At 51.6% G+C, this 15,635-nt stretch overlaps 1 annotated feature.

Moving 5' to 3' along the window:
• Window positions 13,326-13,827: an enhancer, noted in NCBI's record as "H3K4me1 hESC enhancer chr22:48719315-48719816 (GRCh37/hg19 assembly coordinates)". NCBI's record gives its function as "activates a minimal SCP1, AML or CMV promoter by ChIP-STARR-seq in naive H9 embryonic stem cells {active_cell/tissue: H9 hESC(naive)}" and the evidence as "EXISTENCE:reporter gene assay evidence [ECO:0000049][PMID:30033119]".

Genomic DNA, 15,635 nt, shown 5'->3' with positions numbered 1-15,635 from the left:
GGTGGTCTTGGGCTGGAGTTTGGGGGTCGGACTGGCGAGGGCTCCTGTCGTGTCAAGGTTATTGACAGGTGGGTGGTCTTGGGCTGGATGCCAAGCTTCTATGAGCTCCATTTCCTCCTCTGTCATAAGAGAGATAAAGGTAACTTCATTCTCAGTTGCTGTGACATTTAGCCCTAATTAATACGCATTAACCACACAGAAGGCGGAAGCAGCTCATGGGGCGACCGCCTGTAAGAGGACCACATCGATTCCTCCCACCCACCCCGAGCCCGAAGCACTGGTGTTTCCCCTGGGAGGGGAGAAGCCGATTCCTCCCCTCCCTATGGAGCCTGCTAGCCTCAGTCTTGTTTCACCAATAGGATGAGGTAGAAGTGCCACCCTGGGGCTTCAAGGTCCTGGCATTGCCACTTACAGGGGGTCCCTTGGGACTCACTCTGGAGAAAGCAGCTTCTGTGGAAGAAGCCACACTCACTCAGAACTGCCACGCTGTGTGGAAGCCCAAGTCAGCCATGCGGAGAGGCCCTGGGGATGGGCACCATGTGGCTAGAGTGAGCACTTTTCCTGCTGGGGAAAAGTGAGAAGGAGGAGGAATCTTTATCCAGAGCTGATTATATCCAGGCCCTCCTTCCACCCAACAGTATCCTGCTCACCAACAGATTTTGAGACTCTGAGAGGCTGCTGAGAGTCTGCTGCCCTGGGCCCTGCTGTGAATGGTCTCCCTGCCTCCACAGCCTTGGCCCATGGAGCCCCCTCCCCGAGGGAAGGGGCTGATTTTCCTCCAAGCCATTACTGGTCATGAGCCCTCACCCCATCCCCACCCAACCAACAACTCAGTCAACAGGAACAAACAAAACCAAAACCAAAAATGCTGCCTTCCTGCCCATCCACAGTGCTGCCTTACTGCCCATCCAAAGTCAAACAGGTCGGGGAGGTGTTTTCGAATGCTCTGGGCTTAGGTGGGTGATCTAATTTTTAATTTAGCTATGTGCAGAGGTGGCTTGTAGAAAAGAAATCCACTCAGGGATTGACTTGGCACCACTGTGGCTGTGCCCGGGGACCCATAAAGGGCTGCCCCACAATCAGCCCTCCCGGGGGGGATGCACACAGGAGACCCCCTGGTGGGCCCTGTAGCCCCTCACCTGCAGCTGTCAGCTCTAGTGAGGAGAGGACAGCTGTCCTGGGCATTTCCTCTTAGATGTCCTCGGTCCTTGGAGGCTGCCCTTCCCACCTGTCACAGGTGAGTTTTGCCCCCACATTCACGTGTTGAAGCCCCAACCCCCAAGACCTCAGCATGGGACTGTTGTTGGAGACAGAGTCTTCAAACAGATGACTAAGATTCCATGAGGTCATTACAGGGGCCCTGATCTCGTATGGAGATATCCTTGTAAGGAGAGGAGAAGAGGATACAGACACCCAAGAGGAAGGGCTTGTGAGGACAGGGAGAAGGCGGCATCTGCAGGCCAAGAAGGAGGCCCCAGGAGGAGCTGCCCCAGCAGGCACCTGGCTCTTGAGCCTCTGGCCTCCAGGACGATGAGATGGTGCCTTCTGGTGCTGAAGCCACCCGGTCCGTGGAATTTGCTCAGACCTCCCCAGCAGGCACTTGGAAGTATAGATCAGGCCTTACCCAGCTGAGCTTCAGGCCAGCATTGGAACCAGTCACCACTGGCCGCATCACCCCACAGTGGGGACACAGGGACCTTGGGGCTGCTTTTGTACCTCCCCAACCCCTACAGTCTTCCTGGGCCTGAGGCTGGGTCTGTGTTGAATGAGTCTTGTTTCTTTCCCTCCAGGGGTTCACCTGCCACAGGGCCCAGCTGAGGTGTGTGCCCTGCCAGGGAGACAAGTGTCAACATGTCAGAAGCTGGGAGTGGAGGGGTTGATTCTGTCCTGGGGCCTCCTGCATGGAGGGCCCAGGTCTTGGGGTGCAGGGATCTGTTAGCCTCCTGGTAAGCGCCCGTGTGGTTCCTCTCAGCCTGCAGGCTTCTGGAGGGATGCGCCTGTCTTGAAACTTGCACAGTCCCTGCCTCAGAGCTACACACACGCAGGCCCTTCGCCTGGGCACTGCAGCTCAGGGCAGGGGCAGGGGACTCACAAGGGTGAGAGGGAGCCGGCGGCCGCCCAGAGCCCACAGGAGCCTCCAGCTGCAGGGGAGAAAGGGAAGGCCTGCTCTAGGCCCATGCTCCACTGCGGGACTAGGACCTGGAGCTGGGGCTCCCAACCACATGTTCGGTCTCCCAGACGACCCTTTCCAAAGGACACCAGTGCAGCCGGGAGACCCTCACAACCCAGCACCACACCCTGGGAGGCAGCCTCAGTTGCTCCCCTCCAGGGACAGAAAGCCACACTGTGCCTCCTCTTTCCTTCAGTTCACAGAGGCACAGGGTGGCGAGGGTGGGGGTCTCCACATCCCTGCATCCTGTGGGAAGGGCTAAGGGAGCTTCCATCTCTATGATGAGCAAACAGTCGGGAACTGTGGCCCCAGAAGGCACAACCACTGAAAATCTGGCAACCTTCAGCAAAGGGTTAAATACATGAATGGGTGACACATGCGTGATTGGTTACCAAGGGCAACCATGATATTTTGGGGACATCTTTGGTGAGGGTGACTTCTAGGGAGAGAACAGAGCCTGAGGTCAGGGCCCCGGGGACACAGCCACGCCTGCCGAGGAGCCAAATGCAGGATGGGACCTTGGATTTCATCCCAGCCCGGCTCAGCCCTGGGCAGGCTCAGAGCTGGACTGGCAAGGGCCGGTGCCAGCCCGGGAGGCGAGGGCAGAATGCTGGGTAGGTGGGTGCGGTTTGTACCCACTCGGCCACATCGTGGATAACCTTGGAGGAGGCCTCCCCCGAGACCTGGTTGCCTTCTCTGAGCGATCGAGACATAATGAACCCCTTTCCCGCTCGAAGAGGGACTGTCATTTCCCCGGGTGGCCACAGATGAGACCACAGGCTGGGCGTCAGACCACGGGCGGGAGAAAGGAGCCCACGCCCCTCGGGAGGTGGGGCCTGTACCGACTTCTCCTGTACCTGCGAATCCCTGTGAGGAGCCAGGCGTGGCCTCCTAAGGGGGCACCAGGAACGCGTCACCCACTCCTTGGTTGATTTATTCCACCTACAGGTACAGAACGAGCACCGACTGTCTGCTGCCCTGGCCCCTGGGGGTCATGTATCAGAGGGAGAGGAAGAGAAGCCAATGGTGCATGGGTACCGGTGCGGACGGACAGCAGGATCCCTGGGCGCCCAGCAAAGATGGGACCATATGACGGGCCAGGGTCCCTGGGAGCGGTGGCCCCAATTGAACGTGAAAGGGTGAAGGGTTTGGTCCAGCTGTGGAAAAGACATGGAAGATGGGGAGGCACAGGCATCCTGGGAGAGACCCGGGGCTGAGGAGGAGTCGGCTCGTGGATGGGACCCCGTTTCTGTGCCTGCCCCCGACCCTGGGCACTGCCACCACCAATGCCCTCTTTTCTCCTGACACCCCAGGCTGCCTTTGTCTCTTCCAGGCTAAGACCCAGCTTCTGTTCAGCCTCCACTACACCTGCCTCTGGGAATATCAAGTCCTGGTCCCTTGGACATTCTGACGCAAGGAACGCTTTCTGCTGCCCCTCCCATGAAGGGCCACCCCGGGAGGCCTGGGAGCCTCCACTGCCCTCCCAGAGGGGTGTGAGCATCCAGGAGTGCATGAGAGAATCAGCGCCCTGCCAAACCTTGACCAGGGAGCCGTGGTGTCAGGAAGGAGGTGCCCAGTGCTACCTGTCCCGCCTGCTGCAGCCTCTCACGCTGGTCTCCTCGCAGCACCCCCGAGGCTCTGCGCCCGAGCTCCTGCGCCCTTGCAGAGCAGCCCCAGGTGTGTCTGCCCCACAGAGGCAGGAAAGACCCAGAGCCGCGATTCCAGCAGGAGCAGGTGGATGCACTGGAAGCGATGGAGCTGGAGCCTCTGCAGAGCTAAGGTGTGGTGTGTGCGCCGCTTCCCATCCGTCACGCACGTCACCTGTCACCCATGGGAGGCCTGGGCGTGGCGAGGATGGCTGGAGGCGGGGGAGAGGCTAAAAGGGGAAGCAGAGTGAGGCTGGAGGGAGGCGGGTTGGGGTAAGCCGCATGGGGAGGAGTCATTGGAGGTGGGAGGTGGTGGGTTCAGGCCAGCGCTGGGGGGCAGGTGGGGCCCATGGCGCCCGGCCCGTTAGGGGCTAAGTCTGGGCCACTGCAAGCCACAGCCCCTTCTCCAGATGCAGTGGAGCTCGCCAAGCTCTGGCCAGGCCTGGAGGCCCTGGGGCTGCTCTGCCCTCCGTGGGTGGCCGCTGGGCTATGGTTAGGGGGACAGGAGTGACAGGGAAGGACCAGACCCTGTCCCCGGCTCTGAGGCAGCACTGGCCCACCCACCTTCCCTCTCCGGCACCCTTGGTACAACGAGGACAACCCCAGCCTCTGCTAGCACCAGGCGCCTGCGAGGGTTTCAGGGTCGGGGTCGGCCTCTCCCGCTTGAGCGGCAGCGCTGCCGGGAAGAGCCTCTGTCTCTCCACTTAGACGTCCACATGGCAGCGTGGGATACGCGTGCAGAACGCGTGACTGTGGAGGAGAAAGGATTTGCTTCCTCCGTGGGAAATGCTGGACTCTTTAACCTCAATAAAAGTGGTGCGTAGGTGGTGTGTGTGTGTATGGTGGAGTGAGCGGTGTGTGTATGTCATGTGTGTGGTGGTGGTGTGTATGTGTGTCTGTGTGGTATTTGGTATGTGTGTGGAGTGTATGGTGTGTGGTATGTTTGTGTGTGTGGTGTATATGTGGTGTGTGTGGTGTGCATGTGTGGTGTGTGGTGAATAGTGTGTGTGTTGTGTGTGTATGGTGTGTGTGGCATGTGTGGTGTATGTGTGTGTATGGTGTGTGTGTGTATGGTGTGTGGGGGGTGTATGATGTGTGTGGTGCATGGTGTGTGTGTGTGGTGTGTATGCGGTGTGTGGTGTGTGGTTGTGTGTAGTATATATGTGGTGTGTGTTTGGTGTGTGTGATGCATGTTGTGTGTGCTGTGTGGTTGTGTGTGGTGTGTATGTGGTGTGTGTGTGGTGTGTGTGGTATGTGCATGTGGTGTCTGGTGTGTGTGTGGGTGGGGTCTATGGTGTGTGGTGTGTGTGAGACAGGAGGGAGGTTAGATTTCAGAGGCTCAGGCACACATGTCATCAGCGGTAGCAAGTCCCTGCATGGTTAGATAGCGGGGTTTGCGTCTTCCTTCCCACCTTGCTATGATCTGGGAACACTGCCTCCCCCTCTGGTCCCCCTTGGTGTGGGGCAGCTGGGTCCTGCCCTCCATGGCGTCTCCCTGCAGGGCAGACAGGTACAGGGAGGCTGGGGACAAGGGAGGAGGGGGCCTGGCAGTTCTGCTTCTTCCCTCCTCCCCAGGTGAGCTGAGCTCAGGACTCGCCTGGCACTGCTCCCCTGGGGACGTCCCTGCCCGTGTGTCCTGCTGCAGAGCATCCGCCGCTGACCAGGCTGGTCCACTCCATCCGGACTCCAGGTGAGGAAGGTGCCCCCTTGCCCTCAGCCACCTCCTCTCTTCCCATCCCTCAGACGCACCAGCAGCAGAGGGCGTGTCTTCTCCATCTACCAGGCCATGTGCTACATTTGGAAGGGACAGGAGGCCTGCAAATCTGCAGATCCGAGCCAAGACACCCCAAAATCCAGTGCCCTGGAACTTAGTTCCTAGGAAATTATGTCTAGAAAAATAACACAGCACTGACTACTATGGCTTCTGGCACGGGGAAGGCAGGAGGCAATGGTCTTGTAATGCCTGGCTGGCCAGGACCTGAGCATTTGGGCTTTTACCCTATCAGGTCGAGGCGGCCGAGCTGGCCTGGCCCGTACGTGGGCATCTGCCTGTAGAGCGCAAGGTTTGTTTCACTTTTAGGAAGACAGGGTCCTGGCAGACAGCCCTGGGCCTGGCCGTGGGGGAGGTAGAGCCTCACACGTAGTGGCCATGGCTCATGGGGTCAGAGGAGGGTCCCAGCCATATGTTGGTGGGCTTCAGAAGCCTGGGTAGGCAGGTGGGGCAAGGATCTAATTGTAGAGAAAGAGCTTTTCCAGGATTATTCAGCCTGGGTATGCAGAACAACAGCATTTATCCCTTTCAGGGGCCCAGCAGCTGGGTTTGGGGTGCGTGTAAGAACCCGCTGAAAATCCAGGTGTGCTTTTGGTGCAGGCCTGTTGGACAGTGCTGGGCCAGCCCCTCCAGGCTCTGTTTTTCACACAGGGCCAGGGGTCATGCAGATTCTTGTCCTAGATTCAAGGAGTTCCACAGGCTACTCCCCCAAGCCCACAGCGTGGTCTCCAGTTCGCTTAATATAGAGTCAGGAGGAGGCACGCTTGGAAGGCAGGTCCTTCGGCCTTAGAAAGTCCACAGCAAGGGGCAATGGAAACAGCCAGAGAGATGGGGAGGGGGAGGCGGAATGGCTGCTATGCTGTGACAGAGGATCTGCTCAGTGCCAGACAGCGTGGAAAGGATGGGGCACTATAATGCAGGCTGGCGTGTGACCTTGCATTATAGATGGTGTACTCAGAATGGACGTCTTGTTCAGGGAGTTCTTCCTCTAAGTGTGTGACCTCAGGTCATCACGTGGGCCACAGGCATTGACTGACTGACAGAGCCTGAAAGCCAAGCCCAGAGGAGTTTACCCAAAGCCCAGAAGTTTTCCTTCTCCCAGATCTTCCAAGTCCAGAGACTTTGGAAACACTAAGTCTCAGGTTCTGGAAAGGTCATTGTGCCTGGGATCATTGCTTCAAGGAGCAGAGCTTGGTTTGTTTTCCAAGCCTGGTGGGTTTTAGGCCAGGGTTGTGTTCTACTCTCTGCCCCATAACACCCAGCAGTCTTTAACATTAAGCTGCGGAGTCACTGTACTGAGCCAGTGCCACTTCTGAGTGAGAAGTGGCCTCAGGCCCAAGCTGGTGGTGGACAGAGCCCACTTCTGCCCTGGCCTCAAGAAGCAATCTGGCTGAGAATGAGCAGAAGAAGGCATTGGAGATGATGAATTTTTGATTGTTTATTAACAAGAGCAAAGGGACTTGGATCTCTTTGGGCACCAATGTCTTTGAACTTTTACTTGCAAGATTTAATCTTCAGGATTTAATTCTCCCCCTAGGATGCTGGTAATGGTGGAGGGTTAATATTCCCATGTAGTTAGTGCCTTGCTATGTTTTTGGCCTTTTATTATGGAGCATTACTATGATTCCCTGTTTCCCATTTTACTCTTAAAATATTTTCATATTACCTTTAATTTCATTGCAGAACCACTGATGGGTTGTATTGGATGACATAAAGGATGATATTAGCTATGTGTAGCCTAATAACACGTCATCTCACACTTTAGCAGTTTAAACAATAAGCCCTTGTTATCTCAGTCTCTGTGAGTCAGAAATTCATGTGCACTTGGCTAAATCCTCCAGCTTGTGATCCCTGATGAAGTCGCAGCTAAGCCTCCTATTGTGGCTGCTGTTTCATCTGAAAGCTTGAGCGGGAAATAATGTGCTGTCAGGCTCACATGTTGCTGCTGGCAGGATTGAGCTCCTCTTGGGCAGCTGAACTGTGGACCTCAATTCTTCATCAACTGTTTGCTAAATTTCCCTCATTTCTTGCCACATGGGCCTCTCCATAGAGTGGCTCAGATCACGGCAGCTCAGAGCAAGCAGATGAGAGCAACAGACAGTCCCAAGATGGAAGCTGCAGTCTTTTTGCAGCCTAATATCAGAAGCAATATCCTATCACTTTTGGCATATTCTACTGGGTAGAATCCAGCCAATAGGTTCAGCCCAACTCATGAAGGTGGGAGAATGAATTCCATAGATTCCTGAGAATCATCTCAGAAGCTGCCCACTACAGATGGGAAGTCATCTATGTGTTGCATTTTCAGCTTTGTGTAGGTTTTGCATGGATTTAATTCAATACTCTTCTGAGGCATTTCAGGGCTTTTAGGGGACAAAATCCAGACTGTCTAGCAGCAGCTTTAGGGGGCTATCAAAAGACATAGGTTGGGATTAGAGGAGTGAACTTATGACAGTGGTGGTAAGAATGTCTTGATGGTCACTTTTGGCTCCCAATAGCCTGAATGGTGGTCCCGCAAGATTCAGAGGAACTAAAAAGCAGAGGATGTTAGGATAATGCTTATTGCCCCTCCAGATGTTTCCTTCCCATTTTCCACTTGATCCTTCTAGGGGATCTTCTTTGTTGAGAAACCACAGACGCTCTTCCAGTTATCAAATATAACAAATCAACCAACAGTTGTCAGCTTAAACCAACAATAATTATTTGCTTTTCCATGGTTTCTGCTAGCCAGAAATTCTGGAAGAGTTTGGCTGAGCAGTTCTCATCTGGAATCTCTCAGGGAGTTGCAGTCATGTGTTCACTGGGGCGCTATCATCTGATGGCTTGACTGGGGCTGGAAGATCTACTTCCAAGATACTGCTGTCCCATGGGGGGGGCATCTTGTGCACCTCCAGAACATGAGCTGAGCACCCAGTGCCTAGAGCCAGGGGCAGGACAGAAGGAGGCTCTCCCATGACTTTACAGATTCATGGGCAAGAAATCAGGTACGCCAAAGTAAACAGACAATAGTGCCCTGAAGGAGTGACATGGAGGGCTGGTTTCCCCAGACATGTGTGCATGCCTGTATGCACCTGTATGTGTGACTGTGTGTGTGTGTATATATATAATATATATGTGAATACGTGCATGTGTGTGCATGAGTGGACATGTACATGCATGTGTGTGTGTGTGTGTGTATGCATGCATTAGTGTATGCATACATGCGCGGGGGTGATCACTGAAGGTGTTTTTGAGAATGTGATACTTAAGCCAAAATTTGAACATGAAGATTAGCTAAAGGGAAAAGGGGTGAAAGAATATTCTAGAAGTGGGCAAGTGTGCACAGGAGAGAGCAACGAGTTTGGGTCTTGCGGGAATAAGCTGGGGCAGGCTCCCTGGGAACTGGGCTTTGGCCGGGTGTGTTGGACAGAGGGAGAGAGGGTTGATCAGTTGAGGGTCCTCTGCATGTCAGTGACTTGCTTCTAGCAACTGGGAGGAAGTTCGGGGGATTCCAAGCCAGAAAGGGACCAGCTGGTGAGCAGCAGGTGGGCAGGTGGCCCCTCAGTCCAGGTGTGCGTTGGTGAGGCAGGTGTGAGAACTGAGGCAGTGCTGGGGTCAGCTGGGGACTAAGCTGGAGAGACAGGAGGCTGTGCTGGGGAGATCCGGCTATAATTTATATTTGCACCTGGGGAAGTACACCTGTGGTCGGATGGAGTGAAGGCAATTGTGGAGGAGGAGAGGGGAGAAAAAGTCCAAGAAGCCAGAATCTGGAGGGGCTTCATCTGTGGGGCCCAAAGTCACAGGAACGAGGCCGGGAGTCGGTGTCGGGGAGGCCACTTTCTGGGGTGAGCAGCCTTACTGGGGAGAAGAGGAGAGGGTGGGCAGGCCCAGGCGACCCCGAGCTTCTGTTTAGAGGACGATTACCAAGGCTAACTCAATCCAAATGGATGCTCAGCGGCAACTGGGTTGAACGTGGAAAAAGCAGAGAGACTTTCTGTAATTTACAGGTGAGAGGAGAAAGAGGCTTTGATTTTGACTGAGGATTCTCCCGGCGGTGTTACAGTGAGCGCAAATGAGCGGCGCAGTGAAGCCTGGCAGTTCCTCGGCACGCGCTGCCTGCCCTGCAGACCTCATTCAGAGCCGTCTTCCACATTTAAATCCAAGCCCAAATATGAAAGCCTAATGTTAATCTTGCAAGTAGAGATACGCTGCCCTTCTTTTTTTCTTTTCTCTTCTTTTCTTTTTTTTTTTCTGAGATGGAGTCTTGCTCTGTTGACCAGGCTGGAGTGCAGTGGCGCCATCTCAGTTCACTGCATCCTCTGCCTCCTGGGTTCAAGCGATTCTCCTGTCTCAGCCTCCCGAGTAGCTGGGATTACAGGCGTGTCATCACACCTGGCTAATTTTTGTATTTTTAGTAGAGACGAGATTTTGCCATGTTGGTCAGGCTGGCATCGAACTCCTGATCTCAGGTGATCCACCCACCTTGGCCTCCCAAAGTGCTGGGATTATCGATGTGAGCCACTGCACCTGCCACACCACTCCCTTCTTATCTGTGGTTTCACTTTCTGCAGTTTCAGTTACCCATGCTCAACCTCGGCCCCCAAATAGGTAAGGACAGTACAATAAGATAAATTAAACTTTATCATAGGTGCGTATATACAGGAAAAATATATAGTGTCTATAGGGTTCCTTACCATCTGTGGTCTCAGGCATCTACTGGGGGTGTTGGAATTTGTTTTCTGCAGACAAACGGGGGCTATTTCATTAGAGAGGTCATTATCTGCTTTGCAAAATGATTTACAGTGAAGGTCACCAAAATAGAGGCTGCTACTGCAGTATTTACTTGGCTTTGGTTTACAGAAATTTAAACGCATAAACTTTGTCAGCACCAGAGGCAGCCCCATTCTTGGGTTTTAGCAGCCCTCCAGCTAAGTGCCTTTAGCCTCGGATGAGCTACATGCAGTTTCCCTTTGAAGGGCTCTACCTGGGGACTGGCCACTCATTTCTACCTAATTCTTATGACCTACCATCTATTTGGACTTTGATCCAAGGAGAAATCTGTTTTCAAAATCTCTGGCAGACATGGCAATGATGCCAAATCCAATCTCGCTGCTCAAAGACAGTGCTCCATCATATTAAACCCAACCTTGGTCACTCCACAGGAGTGTGGCAGAAGGTTTCTGCAAAATTACTTGGTAGCTAAATACAAATCCTGAAGAAGAAACCCAAGCTATTTTATCTCTAGGAAAAAAAGAGATGAACCCCATCAAGTAAGGGACAGAAAAGTTACCTGCAAGGAAAGCAGGAGCTCAGATGCATGAATATCTGTGGGTAAGGAGATGCAGGTTGACCCTCAGAGACATGTCCAGCCGGAACACCTGCCTTCGTTCTCTGGCAGGTGAAGGTCAAGGTGGGAGCTGGGTGTGTTTAAAAAGAGGGCCATGCTCAAGACAGCATTAGACCCATGGAGGGGCTGTGCCTTCCTTGACATGGGCACGCTTTTCTTTTTTTTTTTTTTTTTTGAGACGGAGTTTCGCTCTGTCGCCCAGGCTGGAGTGCAGTGGCGCGATCTCGACTCACTGCAAGCTCCGCCTCCCGGGTTCACGCCATTCTCCTGCCTCAGCCTCCCGTGTAGCTGGGACTACAATGGGCACGCTTTTCAACATCAGCTTTCTTAAACGTGTGCTGCCTCTTACCCCAAGTCTGATTCCTTGCAGAATATGACATTTGTGAGTCACGGTAAGGTGGCTTTTTCATGGTCTGTGGCTTCTGTGATAAATGGCCAAAAAATGGAGTGGCTTTGAATAACAGACATCTATTCTCTTTCAGTCCGGGAGGCCAGAAGTGTGAAGTCAAGGTGTCGGCCTGGCCGTGCTCCCTCCGGAGTCTTCAGGGGAGGGTCCTTCCTGCCTCTTCCAGCTCCTGGTGGCTCCTGCAGTCCTTGGCTCACAGCTGCATCTCCCCAGCCTTGGCCTCCGTCTTCACATAATCATATTCTCTGAGTTTTCTCCTCTCTTTTCTGTTTTTCTCCTCTGTGTATCTCATAAACACACTTGTCATTGGATTTAGGGCCCGCCTGGCTAATCCAGGATGATCCCCTTTGGAGATCCTTAACCTTATTACATCTTCAAAAAGCCCCTTTTCAAAAAAGGTCACATTCACAGTTTCCAGATATAATTTTCTGGACATGTCTTTCTGGAGGCCACCATTCTACCCACTACAGATGGTGACTGTTAGGGGCTGAATGGTGGCCCTCAAATTTCATATGTTGAAATCCCCACTCCCAGTACCTCAGAATGTGGCTCTATTTGGAGATAAGGTTTTTAAAGGATTAATTAAGTTAAAATGAGGCTATAAAGGTGGAACCTTAGCTAATATGACTGGCATCTTTGTTTAAACAGGGAGAGACACTGGGGGGTGTGTGTGCACAGAAAAATAGCAGGTGAAGACACAGTGAGAGGGCAGCCTTCTACAAGGCAAGGAGAGAGGCCTCGGGAAACTAGCCCCGCTAGCACCCTGACCTTGGACGTCCAGCCTCCAGAACTGTGAGACAATAAAGTCCTGTTGGTAAGTCACCCAATCTGTGGTGTTTTCTTATGACAGTCCTAGCAAACACATACAGTGACCTAGCCTTTTAGGGGGACCCCTTATAGGCCAGTCACCTTGCTCCTTGCATTGAAATATCCTGTGGTGTGAGGAAGCCCAGACTGTAGGGTCAGGCAGAACTGGGTGTGGCTGGGTCTCAAATCTGCCTCCTGATTTTGGTCCAGTTGCTTAATTGATTTATGAGTCAATGGTCTCATCTACATAAAGGAGACATTAGTACCCACCCCACAGCCTTATTGCAAAGTCAACATGAAATTCTCATGAATGACACCTGGCAAGAATTCAACTGGTCACTGCTGTTGTGGATGTCCCCAGGACATACATAATCAATGGTTGAATATGGATATTCGACAGTTGGATATGGATATTTAATGGTTAGATATGGATATTTAATGGTTGGATATGGATATTCAATGGTTTCATTGAATCCTGGCCTCCAGCCACCTCTGTTTAGAAGCTCTTTCCTAGACTTCAGCCCATAAGCATAATGTCACTTGCTCAAGGTCGAATACTTGGTAAGTCACAGAGTATGGAATTGTCATCTCCATTTAGTTCCCAGAATCAGATGCTTACCTTTTAATTTCACTTCCCAGATACTGGTCTCAATGTCCCAGTGTCCCTTATCACCCTTGAGTGTTCCCAAGACGGTAATAAAATGAACGTGGATGTGGAAGAAGCTAAAGTGGAGTTAATTCATGTAATAAAGCTAGAATATTTTAGAAAATTAAAAAAAAATCAGGAAACAGAAAAATGACACATTCGCTTGCCACTTAGAACAAATAGTAATGGTTCTTCTGATACCCGGGGGAGATGTACTATAGATGAAAATGGAAAATGTTTTTCCAAGTTCCAAGAGCTTTCCAGTCTCCTCTCTGACTTTCCCGGCAGGATTAGGCACCCCGCTGTGCCCCACAGCCCCAACACCTCTGGAGGCCCTCTTGCTGGGCCATGTGTTCTAAGGGCGTTAGGGATAATATGACTTTGACCCATGGTATTCCAGGTCCCAACTCTGGCAGACAGGAGGTGCTCAATAGTTTCATTTTTGACTTGAAGGTTCTGAAGTGAGGTCTGATGGAGATACGCAGCATAGCAGCATGCACTGTGCGGGCTCTGGCCTGTGGGTGCTGCAGGCTGCAGGGCAGATGCTGAGTGTGTGCACGTCTCCCTGCAGCCAGGCTTCTGAGGTCCTGGAGACCCACAGCTAGGCTGGGAGCAGGATGGCTGCTGTGAAGGTGGTAGCTGCGGAAGAAGTGGTGGCAGTGGTCACAGCCCTGGGAGAGATGAAGGGGTCTACATGGGCCAGCACTGAGACCTGTCATGGAGGCCAACAGGAATCCCCATCCCTGGAGCCGTCTGCGTAAGTAGCAAGTCTCCTGCTCGAACCTAGCACAGGAATTACTGGCACTCAGCAGTCAGCTTTGTCAGTCAATTATTACAAAACGAAAATGCACACAAGGACATTGCAATAAAGTATATCAGAGAGTTGTCTGGACTCATCAAAGAATTTAGAATCTTCAGTCTTGAAAACTGCTGCAACATCGCAGAGTAAATACAGGCTTAGAAATATAAATCATATTTTAAAATCACTGCCTCTGGTGGAAAAGAACACTATTTTCACAGGATGCTTCAGAAGATCCAATTATTAGTAAAGAAGACAATTTTAAAATAAATTTTTCCCACAGTAAAGATATAAAATCAGAATTCAGAAGCAAACATTTGAATTATTCACAAAACATGAAGCCACTTCTGATTTATTGTGTAACTCTACAAGTTACAAGAAATGTCAGAAAAAATGCTAAACTGCCTTTATATAAGTTTATACTTGGAATTAATTTTAAAATTACACAAAACTGATTTGTATGAAGAGTTAAATCTTTTTAGAAAAAGTGTTCCACAGGGATGATCAGCTATAAATGCACTAAAATTTATATTTTGAAATAGTTTATCATAAATGTATCCCAATGTTTTCATGGCACATAAATATTGTAAAGAACCCCAGGAACTGACGCATCAGCATGAAATGATTCTCAAAAGTAAAAAGTATCAAAAATTATTTGCAATCTTGCATTTACCACAAGAGACTGACATTGTTTTTAATTATATTGATGAAAAATGAAGTTGCTGAAAACACGCATTTTGACAACTTAATAAACAAATTTGTAGTCAGAAAAATTTATGACAAACAAGACATTATATTAACAACATATCATTATCTTGCATACAATTATGACTTCAAAATATTATTTTGCAATTAAAAAGTTTCTTTTCTTACTTTCATGTCACTATTATCTCTATTATATTTTAGAAGTAACAAAGTATTTTAGAAGGAAAAGATTTATACTTTACGATCTCCAACAGCACTTTTTTTTTTTTTTTTTCCTTTTTGAAATGGGAACTGCATTTGCATTTTTCACTGGACTGGCAAGTTCTGTAACTGACCCTGATTACAAGATTACCCTAGAGATAAGATTCCTGGAAGCTCAGACTGAAAATAGAGACACAAATGAAACAAAAAGCAGAAATGCAATGAAATGATACCGCATGTTCTGGGTACTTTGCTCATGAGCACAGGCACCCAGACACCATGGCCCTGGGACTCACAGCCTCCCGCCCCCCAGACACCTGGGCCCTAGGACTCACAGGCACCCAGACGCCCAGGCCATGGGACTCATGAACACCCAGACACCCAGGTCCTGGGACTCACGGGCACCCAGACGCCCAGGCCGTGGGACTCATGAACACCCAGACACCCAGGTCCTGGGACTCACAGGCACCCAGACACCCAGGCCCTGGGACTCACAGCTGCCCCTACCAGACACCTGGGCCCTAGGACTCGCCGGCGCCCAGATACCCAGGCCCTGGGACTCATGAACACCCAGACACCATGGCCCTGGGACTCACAGCTGCCCCCCACCACCGGATACCTGGGCCCTAGGACTCACAGGCACCCAGACACCAAGGCTCTGGGACTCACTCACCCTCCCAGACACCCAGGCCCTAGGACTCATGGGCACCCAGACACCTGGACCCTGGGACCCACCTACCTAAGTCTCCATCAACCCAGGACGCTCCACCCTTTGGGGCCAGATCCTGTAAGCTCAGTGCAGAGACCTGGAGTCAGGACCCCAGCTCTGAGCAGACTCAGCTGCCCTGGGCTCTGTGAACTGGGCAAGCCATGACCCAAGCTGGATCTCGGTTTCCCAGCCAAGAAAGTCAGAACTGGCACTATCCATTTTCAGTGTCTCTTCCAGGGCATGTTGAGATGCCGTGTGAATCCAGGTATGAGTGGGTGTGGAGAACTTGACAGCCATTTTCATAAAAGAGAGATTCTCTCACTGCCTTCTCACCCCAGTGCGCAAGAATCCCAAAGAGAGTGAAACAGCAAAGAAAGAAAAGAAGAGAGAGCATGGAGAAGTCCCACCTAAGAATTTGTTCAGCTTATACAATTGCAAAAAGTGTGTGTGTG

The sequence above is a fragment of the Homo sapiens genome, chromosome 22, assembly GCF_000001405.40.
Source record: "Homo sapiens chromosome 22, GRCh38.p14 Primary Assembly".
Lineage (NCBI taxonomy): Eukaryota > Metazoa > Chordata > Mammalia > Primates > Hominidae > Homo > Homo sapiens.
Note: the sequence above shows the minus strand (reverse complement) of the source record. Positions and strands in the feature narration are given on the sequence as shown.